At 43.0% G+C, this 20,479-nt stretch overlaps 1 protein-coding gene and 1 long non-coding RNA gene across 2 annotated transcripts in view, besides 3 other annotated features; one reads left to right on the top strand and one right to left on the bottom strand.

Moving 5' to 3' along the window:
* OR9Q1 (olfactory receptor family 9 subfamily Q member 1) overlaps positions 1–20,479 on the bottom strand; it is a 157,736-nt gene that overhangs the window by 114,886 nt on the left and 22,371 nt on the right. The window contains exon 2 of the mRNA NM_001005212.4: positions 10,784–10,861. The gene's annotated coding sequence lies outside the window, so the exon portion shown is untranslated. The remainder of the gene's footprint in view (positions 1–10,783; positions 10,862–20,479) is intronic.
* Positions 7,339–8,018: an enhancer, noted in NCBI's record as "H3K27ac-H3K4me1 hESC enhancer chr11:57826185-57826864 (GRCh37/hg19 assembly coordinates)". NCBI's record gives its function as "activates a minimal SCP1, AML or CMV promoter by ChIP-STARR-seq in naive H9 embryonic stem cells {active_cell/tissue: H9 hESC(naive)}" and the evidence as "EXISTENCE:reporter gene assay evidence [ECO:0000049][PMID:30033119]".
* Positions 7,420–7,714: a silencer, noted in NCBI's record as "tiled region #8721; K562 Repressive non-DNase unmatched - State 24:Quies". NCBI's record gives its function as "represses a minimal TATA promoter and a strong SV40 promoter by Sharpr-MPRA in K562 cells {active_cell/tissue: K562}" and the evidence as "EXISTENCE:reporter gene assay evidence [ECO:0000049][PMID:27701403]".
* Positions 8,019–8,699: an enhancer, noted in NCBI's record as "H3K27ac-H3K4me1 hESC enhancer chr11:57825504-57826184 (GRCh37/hg19 assembly coordinates)". NCBI's record gives its function as "activates a minimal SCP1, AML or CMV promoter by ChIP-STARR-seq in naive and primed H9 embryonic stem cells {active_cell/tissue: H9 hESC(naive and primed)}" and the evidence as "EXISTENCE:reporter gene assay evidence [ECO:0000049][PMID:30033119]".
* LOC124902674 (uncharacterized) lies at positions 8,796–19,593 on the top strand. The gene is made up of 2 exons (XR_007062672.1): positions 8,796–9,048; positions 19,184–19,593. It is a non-coding gene; the product is annotated as an uncharacterized LOC124902674 (long non-coding RNA).

Below are 20,479 nucleotides of genomic sequence, written 5' to 3'. Positions count from 1 at the left end.
ACCAGAAGAACAGAGGTGTGGATGGGAAGGGCATCCTTCCCACTCCTATACCCTGGGGCTGTCTCTGCCAGTCAACTTCGGCCTGAAAGTAAGGAAAATTAGTAGTTGACAGGGTGCTAGAGGCAAGGATGGGGGCTGCTGGGGGTCCAGGGAAATAAGAAAGTCTCGGAGACCTGGAGAACGCTGAAGATATCACCATGTAAGGCAAAGGCTGAGAGCTCAACTACAGTCAATTTCCTTCTTTTTGGGGTCCCATGGAAGCCCCAGCAGGTGTGCCTAGATCCTCGCAAACGAAGCAGGCACAGACGCTCTGACAACAAAGGACCCCCAGCCAAAGGCCCACAGAGAAGGACAATCCACATGTCCTATCCTGCGGTCCTTGTGGTCTTGCTCTCACAGTGTCCATGGTGGACACTATCTGGACCCCCAGCTACCTGCCAACGTCCAGACCTGCAGACACCTTCTCCACCAAAGGAGATATGTTCATCCGGGCTGCGACCCCTTACACACAGCGCTGGACCAGACAGAAGTCAAGTTCCAGCAGCCTCCGGAGCAGCCACTATGCTGACAGTGGGTCATGCTTTTTAATCCCTGGAGAGGGAGAGAGGGAGAGAAGGAGGGAGGGAGGGAGGGGAGGGAGCCACCTTCCCAATCACTGTAGGCAGCTGGGGACTCCAGACCTGTCATACCCACTACAGGGCTCCTGACAGGGAGACCCTTGGCCAGGACAGCGCCCCTCTCCGTGAGTTCCCTCAGAGTCTTTGGGGGTTGGGTGAGAAGTAAGTTGGTGGAAGCCACAGTGAGGGACTGAATCCACACTAGGCTGTGTGTCTTCAAGACATTGTCACAGGTGCCAAGACCCGGCAGTAGGAACACGCACCTGAGCATTAGAGGGTCTGTTCTAGTCCTAGTTCTCTCTGAGCAGCTGAGCAACTGCAAGCAAGGCCTTTTCTCTCTCTGGGTCTCAATGCCCCCCTTTGCACAATGCTAACACTCCTTAAATTTGCTGGACAGCAGAGCCCAGCAACTTCTGCCTGGGCGTGTTTTCAAAATCACGGCAACTAAAGCCATGAGAGGCAAGATGTATCTTCATGGGCACATTCACAGAGAAGGTAGCCCCAGACCCACCCTTGTCAGCAACATGAGCCCACAAATTCAGCTTTCATGCATATCTGAACTGTTTCCAAGGCTTAACTAGTTTTGAACCAGACTTCAATCTGTGAGCCAGCAGTTCCTCTCCAAAAAGATGCCCAGGAAGTATTTAGCTAGACTCCTACATCACCTGCCCCACGTCTGTCTTATTTCTTCCTGAGTTTTTGTCAAAGGCATGCCTGAGTTTTTGTCAAAGGCATGTGCTGTGTGTCTTTTGCCTCTACTCATCACTCTCTGCTTCTGTCTGTCTATGCAGATATCTGCCTGTCTGCCTAGGCCTGCACCCATCTGTCTGCCTGTGTATGTGACTACCAGTCTCTCTATGTGTCTGTGTCACCTGTGTCCTTATCTCTTCTACATCAGAGTGCCTGTCTCTGTGTGTATCTGACTGTTTCTGCATCTGAATAACCTATCCCAGTCCATGTGTCTTCCTGTTTACGTGTCCCGTCCACTCCATAGCCCCTCTGTCAGGTGTCTGCCTGAGTTTGTAGAGCCGATGCTGTTTATGTGCCTCCATTGCTGTCAGCCTCTCTTTGCACTACAATGAGTCTGTGTGTGTCTATCTGCCCACCTGTCACTCTGTGTGTCTCCTTGTCCAACTCTAGGAAACTGCAGCCTTTCTCTAAGTCTATCTGCTTGTGTGCGTGTGTGTTGTGTGTGTGTATGTGTCTAAATCTCTAGAATTCTCCCCTACCCCAATGCTTCTTTAAGCAAATGTACATCTACATTCAGTCCCACCTCTCCTTTGCTCCTCCCAAGGAGGGACTCCCTGGGGCTGTTTTTTGTGGCTCTTTAGAATGCTACTGGCCAAATCTAACTCCTTCTGTCCTTGACCCTCTCTAAGATTCAAAGTCCTCCTTTTCCTGAATGCCCTGAGTCCCCTCTCTTTGCTGTGGCTGAGGCAGAAGGGGCTGCCCGACATCACTGTGGGACTGCAGATTTATGACTCCTGCATCTCAGGGATCCAGGCTCTGGGGAGCACCCTGGCCCTGCTGTCCAATCAGCTTCCACCCACAACCAACTATGCTTGTGGCTCCCAGCAACATCTCCTGGGCGTGGTTGGAGGGATGACCTTCCTGGAGTCAGAGCCCATGTCTGAGCTGCTCTCCATCTACAGAGTCCCTCAGGTGAGAGACATGCCTGGAAAGAGAAAACCACTTAAATACTCTGGCTGGGCACACAATGACAAAGTGCAGCCTGGTAGAAAGATCAGAGCTATGACCTCAAAAAGGTTACTTCCCTGGGCCTGGGATTCTCCCTTTCTACAAAACGGGAGACGAGTATTGGACTAGAACATTTCTGAATGCTGGTCCATGGACTAGTGCTGGTTTGCGGCTATCTTTCTCTGATTTGCAACAGAATGACAAAGAAATGACACAGTGTATGCGCATGTTGGTGTGAGGTCACCAACCCTCCTTAGATGGTGGTTTTATCACTAACTTTTTGTGGCAAAATAAAAATTTGGCAAACTTAGGCTAAACTCCCATAATTGTCCTATCGATGTCTTAAACAGGCTGGAATCCCCAGGATTAATAATCCCTGGAGGCCCTGCACTCGCCAACCAACCATGATCTGAGGGCTGATGACAGCATCTAAGATTTATAACCCAGGCTAGGATCATCTCATTCCTCCTTTGCAGCCTTCCCAGAAATTTGGAAAGTTGAACAAGTGACAAACCATTCCACTGGATTTCTTGATGTTTCTTTGAAACATTTGCCTAGATTTCAGTATGATCTTCAGTATATATTAAATCTGTTAGGCAGGGAGGCAATGTTTATGAAATTATTTCCCAGGTGAAGAATATTTATTTCCCTTGGCATGCCTGAACGGTACCTGACTGCCTGATTGTGACCTTTAAAACTCACCCCCCCAAAAATTAAATATCTTCCCTTGTAAATTCCACTGAGGCTTCAAATGCCACAATTAAAAATATCCAGTTAGATGCAAACACTTTATTCTCTAGGAGGAGTGATATGTACCTATCGTCAGTCAGTCACACCCTAGTAGAAATGAGTTTATCACATGCTTTTTTTCTTCTGCAATATTGGCTGAGAGTAACTCTAATAATAACTATATCTATCATTTACTGGATATTTACTAGTAGAAAGGTGATTTTTAGATCCTTTGCATGTGTTCAAATCCTTAAGATTAAATAAATTAATACATGTAAAACATTTAGAAAAATGCCTGGCTTATAGTAAGTGCAATATCAGTATTTCCTATTGCTATTATCTTCTTTTATTATCTCATTTAATCTTCACAACCCTATGAAATAGATACTATAATTAGTCCCATTTTGCAGATGATGACATTGAACCTGAGAAGAAATGTTACTTGTCCAAAGTCACATAGCTAATAAATAGTATTTTGAGATTAAAACCCAGGGACCTTGATTCCAGGGGAAAAAGAAAGTACAGAAGCAAATAGTAGGGAAACTGCCCTATATGAAACTGCTCCCTCTTTTTGTACTGGTTACTATTTCCAAATGTTTACTGAGCACACCACCACCAGTGGTGTAGAGAATTGTGCTATAGCCACATGTACCATGAGGCACGTGTGAGGCCATAGCCCTATCCTCAGGGATGCTCGCACTCTGGAAGAGAAGGCAAGCATGAACTCATATAACCATAACTCCAGGGCACCCACATGGCTCTCAAAAGGCCTATCTTGAGAGAACTCAGGGCAGAACAACGCAGCCTCAAGCCTCCAAATTAGAATGTTAGGTTACAGTGGCTTAGAATGATGTCTTCTAAGTCAAACCTCAAGACATCTAATTGACAGGATTGCTTTTTCTAGTTTTTTGTTTACATGAAAAGTCTTACAAAGGCATGAAAATAAGTTACTTTTTTAAGATCTTGATTGCCTTAACTAAAAAAGCTGAAGTGCATGAAATTAGTACAATCCCCATGCCTGCAGGCTGCTTTGAGTTCTCATTCAGCACAGCAGGTAGTATTAGACCCAAGACCATTCTCCCCACAGTGCTAGAGAGAAGATGCCTACATCCTAAGTGAGTTCAATTTTTAGGGGATCTAGACCTAGGAGTGTGTGACCTCCAAGGCTGATCCTTAGGAAAACGAATTTAGATTGCCTGAGGTTAACCTCTTCACAAAGGACCCTTGGGCTTGATGCTGGGGAGATGTGGGAGGTGAGCCAGGCATATCCTTAGGACTGGAATGTAACTAAGGGAGTCTCTCTCCTAGATAGATGATAACCCAATCAACTAAAAAGTGGCTCAACCTACGTGGGTGTTTCCGTCCTTTATAAGGGAGAGGATGTCTCAGCCGAGCTAAACTCTGTTTGTCTAGGCAGGTCTGACTTCAGAGCCACAATGGTCCAGTTATTTCTTTGTGCCACAATGCTAGGCTTATGGATAATCCTTCTGAGAATAATTTGGCTTCAGATAGACACTTTCTGTAGGGAGAGAATACACTGACCAGCCAACACAATGTTGGTCACGTTGAAAGTTACATTTCTCACTCTTAGTAAGTGGTGTCTGGTCTTGGCAATGATTTTGGGAAGCCTGCACCATTCCTACCTATACTAGTCATTTCTGGGTGAGTTCCCCTTTCTTGAAACTATGACATCATCTTGTTGCTCACGTACCACTCACCAGGAGATCTTTGAGATTGGCAAGTAGGTTTTGCTCATATTAGTATACGAACTGGCATGTAGCTGTTGTTCAGATCGCATCTGTTGAATGGGTGTGAACCGAGACATTTCTGAAGCTACAGAGCAGATTGTAACCACCGCTGGCACCTCAATGCTTAACATATGCTAAGTGCTACCTTTAACTTGCTAAAAATCCAAGGGAGCTCCAAATGTGTTACATCTTAAGAAATTCTTGAGCATTTTGCAATAGCCCTTGCTGTTGCCGACTCTGGTTTTCCAAAACCCCAGAGTCCCTAAAAATCAAAGGACCCACCTCATTTCATACAACTCACCAACAGAGATCACTGGACAGAGGTGGGCTGGGAAGCCGAAGAGCTAGAAACAATGAAGGGCACTGGCTTGACAGTCAGCAAACCTGGATCTTACAAACGCTAGTTACTGATTATGTGACCTTGACAAATTGAGTCATCTGTCTGAGCTTCACATTCCTCATCTACAAAACGAAGGTAACAAAGGTTAATGATAATGTATTTGCCTCTTAGAGTCATTGTGGATATTAACAATGGAATAACCAGGGCCTGGTACTTAAACCCTCAATGACTGTTAGTTGGAATTGCTATTAGTGATAATGATGATACAATGCAAGCCTGGAAGGAGCAGTTAACTTTGGAGAAAAGCTGGCTCCCACGTCCTCTGTGTAATTTTGCCCAATATAGGGCCAAAGACTCACCAAAAACTTTGAAGTAAAAGAACTTGTCTGCACATATCTGGTAGGACAGCTTCCTTATGGTAGGCTGGGAAAAGTCTGACAGTGAGCCCCTGCACTGACCTGAGGAGCCTGTAGGGGAAGGAAAGCAGGAAGAAGATGAGCAGGAGAGAAGAGAAAAGAACAGGCATTCACTCATGCACTCAACAACTAAGATAAATTGAATGGATCCTGCTTAGAATCTGATTGGAGAGGAAAAGGCATGAACTCGAACAGTCTGAAGTAGAAAGAGTTCAGCAATGATGTGACAAAGGCGATGATCCCAGGGCTGGCATGAACCAAGAATTAAGAACTAGATCTCAGCTTGAGGAGCAGGGATCAGGGAAGGCTGTACGGCAGGTTTGGGACTCCTCAATAAACAGGCCACACTGTGTTTTGTTCTTATCCTCCTCTATCAAAAAAAAAAAAGTGCTCTCTTAATTTCATGACTCTTTCTTAAGTTTAATATTCAACTGACCATAGCACAGCCTTCCAAGTAACTGGAATTACAAGCATGAGCCACCACACCCCCCTACTTTTTGTACTTTTAGCAGAGACAGGGTTTCGCCATGCTGGCCAGGCTAGTCTCGAACTCCTGACCATAGCTCCTGAAATATTTTTTGCTGATAAACAGGTTAAAGAAAACTTAATACATCATATGGGCACCCACTAGGTCTGCCCACCAGAAATCACACTCTACACTGACAACCCCTTCCCCTCTGCTCCAAAAGCCTCCCAGCTTTCCTTAGGCAGGAGGGCTGGAGAGCCTCCAGGTCAAGTGGACTCACCTAAGATTTTTATGTTACCCATCCCCTGATATTAGATTTTCTTGTTATTTTGCTTTACTTGTGTTTCTTCTAAATAGCAAATAACCGGCTTGATTTTTATCCAGTTTGAAAATTTCCCATCTATTATAGTCAAAATCTTTACTCAGCTGCCCCATGACAGGAGAGCTCAATTCTCCCCTCTTTACCTTTGAAAAGGAAAAACCCAGATGAAGGGGCTGCTTTCAAAGGAGTGGGAAGGGATAATGGTGAAACACCTGAAGGACAGCCACAGTCGGAAGCTGTTTCCATCCTTGGGAGAGGAAGCAGAGCTGAGGAAGGCAGCCACTGCCCACCCATGGCTAAGCAGGGAGAAATGAATACCTCAACCTCACTTTCCCCCTACCCCAAGTCTCCCAGCAAGTCTCCTACCAGAAGGCAGAGGGCAGGGCAGCTCTTTGACACAATCCACAAAGATCAGCCCTTCTGGAGCTCAGAGCTATTACAGAGAAGCCTGGAGAGTGTGTCAAGACAGGCAAGTAGAGAATACAGCACGCTCTTCGTAAGTAGGGTAATGTAACCTATCATTTAAGCTGACTGCTGATATGGTTTGATGGTATTCTGCCATCTTATATAATTTCTATTTATTATGCTGGGTCATTGCTTTCTGTTAATAAAACTATAATAATAGAAATAATAGAGATTTTTATTTAGTTTTCTAGTTCTTATGCTTTCTCCCTTTCCTTTTTTTTTTTTTTTTTTTTTTTTTTTTTGAGACAGAGCCTCACTCAGTCACCCAGGCAGGAGTGCAGTGGTGCAATCTTGACTCACTGCAACCTCTGTCTCCCGGGTTCAAGCAATTCTTCTGCCTCAAGTAACTGGAATTACAGGCATGCGCCACCACACCCGGCTAATTTTTGTACTTTTAGTAGAGACAGGGTTTCACCATGCTGGCCAGGCTGGTCTCGAACTCCTGACCTCAATTGATCTGCCCGCCTCAGCCTCCCAAAGTGCTGGGATTACAGGCATGAGCCACTGTGCCCGGCCCTGAATTTTTTTTAATTTGATCATTTTTTCCAATTATTTTCCTTCTGCTGCTTTGGAATTTATATATCTTGTTTTTATTCTATTAACAATTATACAGCTTTTAATTCACTTGAGCCTTTATCTTTCAAATAATGCCAAGAATTATACAATGTATAGAGAGAAACAAAGCCGTTAGCACATCTTTACCTCTCTGCTTCTCCCACCCCCACTGGAAGATATGTTGGCATTCTTTAGTCCGCTGCATTCCTTTCTAAAAACGTCAGTTGGTTTCTTAGGCCTGAGCCCACAGGCTTTCGAAGGACCTGGAAACAGCATATATCAAAGGCCAGTGAGATAATAATTAGAAATAAAAGCCAGAGAGGGAAAAATGAGGCCAAGTTACAAGGCTGGTGAGAACATTTGTGGATCCTGAGCAAGTGTGTTCAGGCCAGGAATGTACAGCTCTGTTCCTTTCCCCCAGATCAGCCATGGATCTCAGCGCCCCCAGTTTTCCAACTGTTTCCAGTTCCCATCCTTCCTCCGCACAGTGCCCAGCAGCACCCACCAGCCTTGAGTCCTGGCCAAGCTCTTGAGTTACTTTAACTGGACCTGAGTAGGCCTGGTCAGTTATGACAACAGCAACTTTGAGTGGCTGGATCAGCAGCTGCAGAAGCAGATCGGGGGCGAGGGTGGCTGCATGGCCTTCTCAAAGATCAGCAGTGTAGATGACAGCATCAACAGCATGGCCACCGTCATTGCCTAAACCCCTGCTGCCACCGTCATTGTCTGTGACTGCTACCATTTTCACTTCAGACTCCTGGCGGGGGCCCTTCAGGAGAACAATGTGAATGGGAGGATGTGGATCTTTTCCACCTCCTTCACATATAACCCCTCGGTGCTGGGTCCCAAAGCCCACGAGTTGCTGAATGGCAGCTTGAGCCTGACCATACACTTAGGAATAATACCTGCCTTTAAGGACTTCCTGTTGGCGCTGCGCCCAGCCGTGTAGCCAGGCAACAGTCTGATGAGGAAGCTGTGGGAGGAGTGCAGGGATACAGGTGGTCTGGATTAGGGGCTTCCATCCAAAGTGCCAGAGAAGGGGCTTGGCATCGCACAGGGCTGGAGAACATGACCACTGCCCACCTGTCTGCCTTCAAACTTCCTGATCTAACTGCCACTTACCAAGCCTACCTGGCAGCCAAAGCCCTGTGGGTTGCCTATCAGAACTTGATGTCCTGCTCTGAGAGAGAGGGACCATTCCTGGGAGGCACGTATGCCAATGCATGGGAAGCCAGGCTTTCTCAGGTGAGTGGCCAAGAAGCCTTTCCCAGTCCCTGTCCATTCCAGCTTTCTGTGAGCTTTAGACTAGCAGAGAGGCAGTGTGGCCTAATGAAAGGAGCATCAAATTTAGAACAAAAGTGATATGGGCTCAAATCTCAATATGGGATTTCTCTGCGGCCTAGTCACTTACCTTTCCTGAGCTTCAGTTCTCTCCTATGTAGATTGAGTATAATAATATATACGTGGTAGGTTGTTATGAAAATAAGAGATCATGCATACAAATGCTGGCTGGTGATTAATGCATGTTATGGGCTACAGCTTTTCTCCAGGTGGTGTGACGCTGCTGCTAATAATGGTGATGACATCAAAACTGCCAAGGGCCTTAGAAATCTGCTGGTCCAGCACGAAGCAGGGAGATCACCAAAAAGGGGAGGCAGAGCTGGAAGAGAACACAGCTGTCCTGCCATCCAGGTCACTACATGCCAATGCTGATATGCAACAAAAACCATATGAGATTCACAGTAGGAAAGAGTTAACCACAAAGTTAGAAAACTGGTAAATCTGCAATGTAAAACATCCAATCCAGCACAGACACCCATTCTTCATGGGCTGCTCAGGGATAAGGACAGGAAGGGAAGGGAGGTGGTGTTTTCCTCGTAGTCAGAGAGGTAATGCTAGAACAAGCTCAAAGAGATGAAATAGAGTTCAGAGGACAAAGGCCTCAACCAACAACACCAAGAGAAGAACACTAGGTTTTCAGCTAGAGGAAGAGCTGAGTCTGAGTGCTTGGCCTAGTCATCAGCCTTCTCTGTGTTCGAGGTCTTTTTTCCTCTCTGGTCATTAGGTACTTTAATCAAAAAGACCTTGGGCTGGGCACAGTGGCTCATACCTGTAATCCCAGCACTTTGGGAAGCAGGTGGATCACTTAGCGTCAGGAGTTCAAGACCAGCCTGGCCAACATGGTAAAACTCTGTCTCTACTAAAAATACAAAAATTAACCAGGTGTAATGGCGTTGTCTATAGTCCCAGCTACTCAGGAGGCTGAGGCATGAGAATCACTTGAACCTGGGAGGCAGGGTTGCAGTGAGCCAAGATGGCACCACTGCACTCCAGCTTGGGTGACAGAGTGAGACTCCATCTCAAAAAAAAAAAAAAAAAAAAAAAAACCTGAATTGTATAACCATGGAAGCCTTAGGAAAGTGGGTACAGATCAGTAATTTTTACAGTGTGCTTCTTGGAGCCTTAGAGTTCTACAGGGAGCCTTAGGTGCCCCCACTGATGGAACACTTCTTCAGGCAGTGAGAGGCTTGGGGATGGGGCTCTGGACCCCATAGCTGCCTACACCAACCAGAGATGCTCTATTTTCTCTGCCTAATATATTAGTGTGAAGCATAAGATTTTTCTTGAAAAGTAGCAACTAATGGACTAGATAAGGGGTCAAAAATTTTCTCAGTAAAGAGCCAGATAGTAAATGTTTTCAGATTTTCAAACCATGCAGCCTCTATCACAACTACTCAACTCTGCTGTTGTAGTGCAAATGCAGCCATAGAAAATCCACAAACAAATCAATCTGACTGTGTTCAACAAAACTTTATTTATGAACACTGAAATAGGAGTTTCATGTATTTTCCATATATCATAAAGTATTACTCTTCTTTTAATTTTTTTCAACTACTTAAAAATGTAAAAGTCATTATTAATTCACACATCACACAGAAAAACAGGTGCCAGACTAACTTTAGTCTACAGGCAGTAGTTTGCCTACCTGTGGACTAGAAAATCTCCAGCAGAAGGAAGGGAGATGATGACAGCTGCCTCTTAATAGCATTCATAAGACTCTTATTAAAGATACCAGAGGTCTAGGTCCAACAGAGAGAACTGGCTCTGACAGCGAAGGTCAACTGTTAAATTTTCAGGAATTGTGCAAGTCATTGTTAAACCACTGGTAGCTTCAATCTAGCCATAGTGGGAGTATTTACACCAGGGAAATCAGCAAACACCAAAAAGACTGGCTTCCTTTCTTAGAGAGCCAGTTGTTAAACATTAAGTACATATTGCAAATAGCCATGCAAAGTTTTAGAAATAAAGTCAAAGTAGAGCAAAAATCCTTTTAATATTAAAAGAAGGTTGTCTTAGTCCATTTGTGCTGCTATAACAAAGTAGCACAGACTGGGTAACTTATAAATAATAGAAATATATTGCTTACAGTTCAGGAGGCTGGGAAGTCCAAGATCAAGGCACCAGCATGCAGTGTCTGGTAAGGGTCTTCTTGGTGCTTACATGGCTGAAGATAGAAGGTAGAAGGGCAAAAGGGGCCTAAGTTAGTAGTTGCCTCCAGCATTTTTTTTTTTTTAGAGATAGAGTCTCGCTCGGTTGCCCAGGCTGGAGTACAGTGGTACGATCATGGCTCACTGCAGCCTCTACCTCCCAGGCTCAGGCAATCCTCCTACCTCAGCCTCCTGAGTAGCTGGGACTACAGGCACATGCCACCATGCCTGGCTACATTTTTGTATTTTCTGCAAACATGGGGTTTCACTATGGTGCCCAGACTAGTCTCAAACTCCTGGTCTCAAGTGATCCTTCTGCCTCAGCCTCCCAAAGTGCTGGGATTACAGACGTAAGCCACCACATCCAGCCTCCTCCAGCCCTTTTACAAAGAACTAATTCATTCATAAGGGTGACTTAATCACCTCTGAAACTGCCCCACCTCTTAGTACCACCACAATGATAATTAAGTTTCAACATGAATTTTAGAGGAGACACAAACATCCAAACCATAGCAAAGATCTTCAAACTAGGCTCAGCTTCTTTAAGAAGGCTTTTAGGTAATTTCATCGGTGCTTATGTAGTATAAGTTCTTAAGGGCTCTAAGAAAAATAACAGTAAACACCTTTTTAGTGTTTTTTATGTTGAGTTATATGCTAAGCACTTTTATGTATTAATGCATTTAATTTTCAAGATAATCCTATGGTGTAGGTCCCCTTTTTACAGATGAGAAGGTTAAGATCTACAAAGAGCAAGATCTACAAAGTCACATCACTGATTCAGATAGAGTGAGGAATGTCACCAGGAATCTTGGCTCAGGACTCTAGAACCAGTTCCTCCCAACCAAGTCATTTGCTCAAACTTCATCCTCTAGTTCTTATGAATTTTCATAGCCCAGTTCAACACACACACATATATTTGACTGGTGCAAAAATAATTGTGTTTTGTTGTTCTTGTTGTTGTTTGAGACAAAGTCTTGCTCTGTCGCCCAGGCTGGAGTGCAGTGGTGCGATCTTGGCTCACTGCAACCTCCACCTCCTGGGTTCAAGTGATTCTTCTGCCTCAGCCTCCCAAGTAACTGGGACTTCAGGCACGCACCACCATGCCTGGCGAATTTTTGTATTTTTAGTAGAGATGGGGTTTTACCATGTTGCCCAGGCTGGTCTCAAAACTTCTGACCTCAAGTGATCCGCCCACCTCGGCCTGGGATCACAGGCATGAGCCGCCACACCTGGCCTCAACGCATGCATTTTTATGCCACAAGTATTTACTAAGCACTTGTATTTTCATGCACTTTACATACTAAGCACAAGTATTTTCATGCACTTGGAGTAATGAGGGATACAGAAATGTACAAAATGTGTGCTTGCCTCAAGATGTTTATATTGTAGTTGAAAGAGTAATAAATATGCAAAAATATTGGTATTGGTATTGGTAAAAATGGCACTTGCAGGAGTGGGAAAGTGATATAGCTAATTCAAAGCATGGGATGGCCAATGGAAAAGAACAGTAGAAGGAAAGGTTGGAAAGGCGGGTAGGAGCTCTATTATAAAGAACCTCAAATGTCTTCTTAAAGAGTTCCAGGTTTCTGGAAAAGATGACCACCTCTTTTCCTAATTACAAAATCAAAGCCAATCCCACCTTTTCCAAAGATGTTTGAAGATCAAACCACTGGATCTAAAGTCACTAGAGGGATTCCTGAAGGCACTCTGCTTATCTTCCTTTTTCTACTATTTCTTTTTCAGCTTTATTCAGGTATAATTAACAAATAAAAATTGTATGTATTCATGGGGCACAATGTGATGATTTGATAGGCATATACATTGTGTAATGGTTACCATAATAAAACTAATTAACACATCCATCACCACCCATAGTCACCATTTGTGTGGGAGGGTGAGGGGAAATAAGGACACTCAAAATCTGCTTTCTTATCAAATTTCAAGTAAACAATACTGTATTATTAACTACAGTCACTATGGTGGATATTAGATCCCCAGAACTGGTGGTTGGGATGGGGGATGGAGGATGAAGGAGATGGGGAAATATTGGTGCAAACTCCCTTTTCTGCTTTTTAAGCTGTTCCGAAAAAGAATGTTGACAGGGTTTTGATAGTCACATAATCCAAGAGTGTCTCAGCCATGAAGAGTTAGAATACACTGAAAAGATACTTCTTAGTTTATATCCGCTTTACTGTGAATTAAATATTTTTATTTTATATATATATTTTATATATATATAATTTATATATATATATATTTTATATATATATATATTTTTTAATTTTATTATTATACTTTAAGTTTTAGGGTACATGTGCACAATGTGCAGGTTAGTGACATATGTATACATGTGCCATGCTGGTGTGCTGCACCCATTAACTCGTCATTTAGCATTAGGTATATCTCCTAATGCTATCCCTCCCCCCTCCCCCCACCCCACAACAGGCCCCAGAGTGTGATGTGCCCCTTCCTGTGTCCATGTGTTCTCATTGTTCAATTCCCACCTATGAGTGAGAACATGTGGTGTTTGGTTTTTTGTCCTTGCGATAGTTTACTGAGAATGATGATTTCCAATTTCATCCATGTCCCTGCAAAGTACATGAACTCATCATTTTTTATGGCTACATAGTATTCCACGGTGAATATGTGCCACATTTTCTTAATCCAGTCTATCATTGTTGGACATTTGGGTTGGTTCCAAGTCTTTGCTATTGTGAATAGTGCCACAATAGCATACGTGTGCATGTGTCTTTATAGCAGCATGATTTATAGTCCTTTGGGTATATACCCAGTAATGGGATAGCTGGGTCAAATGGTATTTCTAGTTCTAGATCCCTGAGGAATCGCCACACTGACTTCCACAATGGTTGAACTAGTTTACAGGCCCACCAACAGTGTAAAAGTGTTCCTATTTCTCCACATCCTCTCCAGCACCTGTTGTTTCCTGACTTTTTAATGATTGCCATTCTAACTAGTGTGAGATGGTATCTCATTGTGGTTTTGATTTGCATTTCTCTGATGGCCAGTGATGGTGAGCATTTTTTCATGTGTTTTTTGGCTGCATAAATGTCTTCTTTTGAGAAGTGTCTGTTCATGTCCTTCGCCCACTATTTGATGGGGTTGTTTGTTTTTTTCTCCTAAATTTGTTTGAGTTCATTGTAGATTCTGGATATTAGCCCTTTGTCAGATGAGTAGGTTGTGAAAATTTTCTCCCATTTTGTAGGTTGCTTGTTCACTCTGATGGTAGTTTCTTTTTTTTTTTTTTTTCCTTTTTTTCTTTTTTTTTATTATTATTATACTTTAAGTTTTAGGGTACATGTGCACATTGTGCAGGTTAGTTACATATATATACATGTGCCATGCTGGTGCGCTGCACCCACTAACTCGTCATCTAGCATTAGGTATATCTCCCAATGCTATCCCTCCCCCCTCCCCCGACCCCACCACAGTCCCCAGAGTGTGATATTCCCCTTCCTGTGTCCATGTGATCTCATTGTTCAATTCCCACCTATGAGTGAGAATATGCGGTGTTTGGTTTTTTGTTCTTGCGATAGTTTACTGAGAATGATGGTTTCCAATTTCATCCATGTCCCTACAAAGGACATGAACTCATCATTTTTTATGGCTGCATAGTATTCCATGGTGTATATGTGCCACATTTTCTTAATCCAGTCTATCATTGTTGGACATTTGGTTCCAAGTCTTTGCTATTGTGAATAATGCCGCAATAAACATACGTGTGCATGTGTCTTTATAGCAGCATGATTTATAGTCATTTGGGTATATACCCAGTAATGGGATGGCTGGGTCAAATGGTATTTCTAGTTCTAGATCCCTGAGGAATCGCCACACTGACTTCCACAATGGTTGAACTAGTTTACAGTCCCACCAACAGTGTAAAAGTGTTCCTATTTCTCCACATCCTCTCCAGCACCTGTTGTTTCCTGACTTTTTAATGATTGCCATTCTAACTGGTGTGAGATGATATCTCATAGTGGTTTTGATTTGCATTTCTCTGATGGCCAGTGATGATGAGCATTTTTTCATGTGTTTTTTGGCTGCATAAATGTCTTCTTTTGAGAAGTGTCTGTTCATGTCCTTCGCCCACTATTTGATGGGGTTGTTTGTTTTTTTCTCCTAAATTTGTTTGAGTTCATTGTAGATTCTGGATATTAGCCCTTTGTCAGATGAGTAGGTTGTGAAAATTTTCTCCCATTTTGTAGGTTGCTTGTTCACTCTGATGGTAGTTTCTTTTTTTTTTTTTTTTCCTTTTTTTCTTTTTTTTTATTATTATTATACTTTAAGTTTTAGGGTACATGTGCACATTGTGCAGGTTAGTTACATATATATACATGTGCCATGCTGGTGCGCTGCACCCACTAACTCGTCATCTAGCATTAGGTATATCTCCCAATGCTATCCCTCCCCTCTCCCCCGACCCCACCACAGTCCCCAGAGTGTGATATTCCCCTTCCTGTGTCCATGTGATCTCATTGTTCAATTCCCACCTATGAGTGAGAATATGCGGTGTTTGGTTTTTTGTTCTTGCGATAGTTTACTGAGAATGATGGTTTCCAATTTCATCCATGTCCCTACAAAGGACATGAACTCATCATTTTTTATGGCTGCATAGTATTCCATGGTGTATATGTGCCACATTTTCTTAATCCAGTCTATCATTGTTGGACATTTGGTTCCAAGTCTTTGCTATTGTGAATAATGCCGCAATAAACATACGTGTGCATGTGTCTTTATAGCAGCATGATTTATAGTCATTTGGGTATATACCCAGTAATGGGATGGCTGGGTCAAATGGTATTTCTAGTTCTAGATCCCTGAGGAATCGCCACACTGACTTCCACAATGGTTGAACTAGTTTACAGTCCCACCAACAGTGTAAAAGTGTTCCTATTTCTCCACATCCTCTCCAGCACCTGTTGTTTCCTGACTTTTTAATGATTGCCATTCTAACTGGTGTGAGATGATATCTCATAGTGGTTTTGATTTGCATTTCTCTGATGGCCAGTGATGATGAGCATTTTTTCATGTGTTTTTTGGCTGCATAAATGTCTTCTTTTGAGAAGTGTCTGTTCATGTCCTTCACCCACTTTTTGATGGGGTTGTTTGTTTTTTTCTTGTAAATTTGTTTGAGTTCATTGTAGATTCTGGATGTTAGCCCTTTGTCAGATGAGTAGGTTGCGAAAATTTTCTACCATGTTGTAGGTTGCCTGTTCACTCTGACGGTAGTTTCTTTTGCTGTGCAGAAGCTCTTTAGTTTAATTAGATCCCATTTGTCAATTTTGGCTTTTGTTGCCATTGCTTTTGGTGTTTTGGACATGAAGTCCTTGCCCACGCCTATGTCCTGAATGGTAATGCCTAGGTTTTCTTCTAGGGTTTTTATGGTTTTAGGTCTAACGTTTAAATCTTTAATCCATCTTGAATTGATTTTTGTATAAGGTGTAAGGAAGGGATCCAGTTTCAGCTTTCTACATATCGCTAGCCAGTTTTCCCAGCACCATTTATTAAATAGGGAATCCTTTCCCCATTGCTTGTTTTTCTCAGGTTTGTCAAAGATCAGATAGTTGTAGATATGCGGCATTATTTCTGAGGGCTCTGTTCCGTTCCATTGATCTATATCTCTGTTTTGGTACCAGCACCATGCTGTTTTGGTTACTGTAGCCTTGTAGTATAGTTTGAAGTCAGGTAGTGTGATGCCTCCAGCTTTGTTCTTTTGGCTTAGGATTGACTTGGCGATGCGGGCTCTCTTTTGGTTCCATATGAACTTTAAAGTAGTTTTTTCCAATTCTGTGAAGAAAGTCATTGGTAGCTTGATGGGGATGGCATTGAATCTGTAAATTACCTTGGGCAGTATGGCCATTTTCACGATACTGATTCTTCCTACCCATGAGCATGGAATGTTCTTCCATTTGTTTGTGTCCTCTTTTATTTCCTTGAGCAGTGGTTTGTAGTTCTCCTTGAAGAGGTCCTTCACATCCCTTGTAAGTTGGATTCCTAGGTATTTTATTCTCTTTGAAGCAATTGTGAATGGGAGTTCACTCATGATTTGGCTCTCTGTTTGTCTGTTGTTGGTGTATAAGAATGCTTGTGATTTTTGTACATTGATTTTGTATCCTGAGACTTTGCTGAAGTTGCTTATCAGCTTAAGGAGATTTTGGGCTGAGACGATGGGGTTTTCTAGATAAACAATCATGTCGTCTGCAAACAGGGACAATTTGACTTTCTCTTTTCCTAATTGAATACCCTTTATTTCCTTCTCCTGCCTGATTGCCCTGGCCAGAACTTCCAACACTATGTTGAATAGGAGTGGTGAGAGAGGGCATCCCTGTCTTGTGCCAGTTTTCAAAGGGAATGCTTCCAGTTTTTGCCCATTCAGTATAATATTGGCTGTGGGTTTGTCATAGATAGCTCTTATTATTTTGAAATACGTCCCATCAATACCTAATTTATTGAGAGTTTTTAGCATGAAGGGTTGTTGAATTTTGTCAAAGGCTTTTTCTGCATCTATTGAGATAATCATGTGGTTTTTGTCTTTGGCTCTGTTTATATGCTGGATTACATTTATTGATTTGCGTATATTGAACCAGCCTTGCATCCCAGGGATGAAGCCCACTTGATCATGGTGGATAAGCTTTTTGATGTGCTGCTGGATTCGGTTTGCCAGTATTTTATTGAGGATTTTTGCATCAATGTTCATCAAGGATATTGGTCTAAAATTCTCTTTTTTGGTTGTGTCTCTGCCCGGCTTTGGTATCAGAATGATGCTGGCCTCATAAAATGAGTTAGGGAGGATTCCCTCTTTTTCTATTGATTGGAATAGTTTCAGAAGGAATGGTACCAGTTCCTCCTTGTACCTCTGGTAGAATTCGGCTGTGAATCCATCTGGTCCTGGACTCTTTTTGGTTGGTAAACTATTGATTATTGCCACAATTTCAGAGCCTGTTATTGGTCTATTCAGAGATTCAACTTCTTCCTGGTTTAGTCTTGGGAGAGTGTATGTGTCGAGGAATGTATCCATTTCTTCTAGATTTTCTAGTTTATTTGCGTAGAGGTGTTTGTAGTATTCTCTGATGGCAGTTTGTATTTCTGTGGGATCGGTGGTGATATCCCCTTTATCATTTTTTATTGTGTCTATTTGATTCTTCTCTCTTTTTTTATTAGTCTTGCTAAAAAATATATATATATATATTTTTTTTTTTAAGATGGAGTCCTTGCTCTATTGCCCAGGCTGGAGTGCAGTGGTGCGATCTCAGCTGACTGCAACCTCCACCTCCTGAGTTCAAGGGTTCAAGCAATTCTTCTGTCTCAGCCTCCCAAGTAGCTGGGGCTACAGCATGTGCCACCATGCCCGGCTATTTTTTTTTTTTTTTTTGTATTTTTAGTAGAGGTGGGGTTTCACCATGTTGGCCACGCTGGTCTCAAACTCCTGATCTCGGCCTGCTAAAGTGCTGGGATTACAGGCGTGAGCCACCATGGCCAGCCTAATTGATATATTGAAATAATCATTCATATTCATGAGATACAGTGTGATATTTCAGTACATGTATACAATATGTAATGATCAAATCAGGGTAATTCGCAAATCCATATCTGCTTTTAGTCAAAACACATTTTTTTATCAGCCACACTTCTTTGTGCCTTGAAGGCAGGACTGAGTTTTTCTATCCTAGGTACCAATCCTAACTGGCACAAAGAAGGATGCTAAGTAATTCGTATGGATGGATTGTAAAAAACTGGATAGGTTCCTATTCATAAGACCAGCCTATCTGTGAAGCAGTCTTAGGCAAGATCTAGTGTTTCAGATCCCCATTATCTTGTCTTTCACTTCCCTACCCTGGCCCCTATAGATTAACACAAACTTGGAACATGAGAAAACAGAGCTCTTTTTTCATAAAGTGTGCAGAGATAAGATGCCTCCCTCCAAGGCACAAACAAGCATAGATATGGGAGAACTGTCCAGTGATGTGGAGGAAGGGCTCCTAATGTGAGACGGAGTCTCTCTCTGTCACCAGGCTGGGGTGCAGTGGTGAGATCTTGGCTCACCGCAACCTCCGCCTTCTGAGTTCAAGCGATTCTTCTGCCTCAGCCTCCTGAGTAGCTGAGATTACTTGTGCCCACCATCACGGCAAGCTAATTTTTTTTTTTTTTTTTGTATCATTAGTAGAGATGAGGTTTCACCATGTTGGCCAGGCTGGTCTGAAACTCCTGACCCCGTGATCTGCCTGCCTCTGCCTCCCAAAGTGCTGGGATTACAGGTATGAGTGACTGTGCCCAGCTGCTCTTAATCAATTTTTTACTGTTATCTTCCATCCCTCTTTCAGGTGCTCCATTATGCCTGAAAGGTTAACTTCACCACCAAAGCCCAAGAAGAGGTTTTCTTCGCCAAAGATGGGGAAGTGCTGACAACGTTTGACATTAAAAACATCTATGTTCTCCCAGACCTGTCAGGACAGACAGCCATTGTTGGACACTTTGACTTCAGAGCACCTTCTGGAAAAGAGCTTCTGTTGGATGACAGCGCAATTGTCTGGGCAGAAGGACCCTTAAAGATTAGAGCTGAGAGAACCCTAAGAACCAAGACCACACAGCACCTCTCACATCCCAAGCTCCAGGAGTATTTGTCATATTGAACTCACTTAGGATACTGGGTCAAAAAGGGGTGGATTATTGACTTACACAACTTTGAGGCTGTTCAGTAAATAAAACCTTCCAAACTCCCTGGCTCCCAAAATTAGGGACCTTGCTAAAGGCAAAGATAACTAATGAGCAAATGGGAAAACAAATTAGATACAATTGTCAATTCAAGTTTACCCTGAGATGGTCAACTCCAGATACCTAGAGATACTACTGATTTAGCCTTGCAGACTTATGTCAAGAAATAGGCAATCGATGCTGAGCTTTTTTAAGCAGTGGAAAATAACCCATGGAATCCCATTAGTCCTTTCCCAGACCCCTAAGTATCTAAGGTCACCAGAGGGAGAAATTCTTTTTTTTTCTTTTTTTTTAAGATGGAGTTTCCCTCTTGTTGCCCAGGCTGGAATGCAATGGCGTGATCTCAGCTCACTGCAACCTCTGCCTCCCAGGTTCAAGTGATTCTCCTGCCTCAGCCTCCAGAGTAGCTGGGATTACATGCACCCACTACCACGCCCAGCTAACTTTTTGTATTTTTAGTAGAGACGGGGTTTCACCATGTTGGCCAGGTCGGTCTCAAACTCCTGACCTCAGACGATCCACCCGCCTCAGCCTCCCAAAGTGCTGGAATTACAGGTGTGAGCCACCACGATCAGCTGAGAAATTCTAATTTAAGTGCAGTTACATCTCAACTATCATCATGCCTCCTGCAGTTTCCTTTAACTTGTGTAGGCAGGGTTAAACACTCCCTTCACTGAGCAACAATAGCATTTTTCACATACCTCTATGATAAGAGTAAGAAAATGACTATAACTGGTATAATATGTTCTATAATACGTTCTATCTCTTTTCTCCGTGATTTCAAACTTGTTCCCACTGGTCTCACCTTAGTCAGGCATATGGTTTTTTATTCCCATGACTATCACACCTCAATGTCCAAATCATCCCACCCTGAGAGGAGGGAACAAAGTTGCTTATGAACAAGG

The sequence above is a fragment of the Homo sapiens genome, chromosome 11, assembly GCF_000001405.40.
Source record: "Homo sapiens chromosome 11, GRCh38.p14 Primary Assembly".
In the NCBI taxonomy this organism is placed as follows: domain Eukaryota; kingdom Metazoa; phylum Chordata; class Mammalia; order Primates; family Hominidae; genus Homo; species Homo sapiens.
The sequence above is the reverse complement of the archived record's forward strand: the minus strand, read 5'-3'. Positions and strand labels throughout refer to the sequence as shown.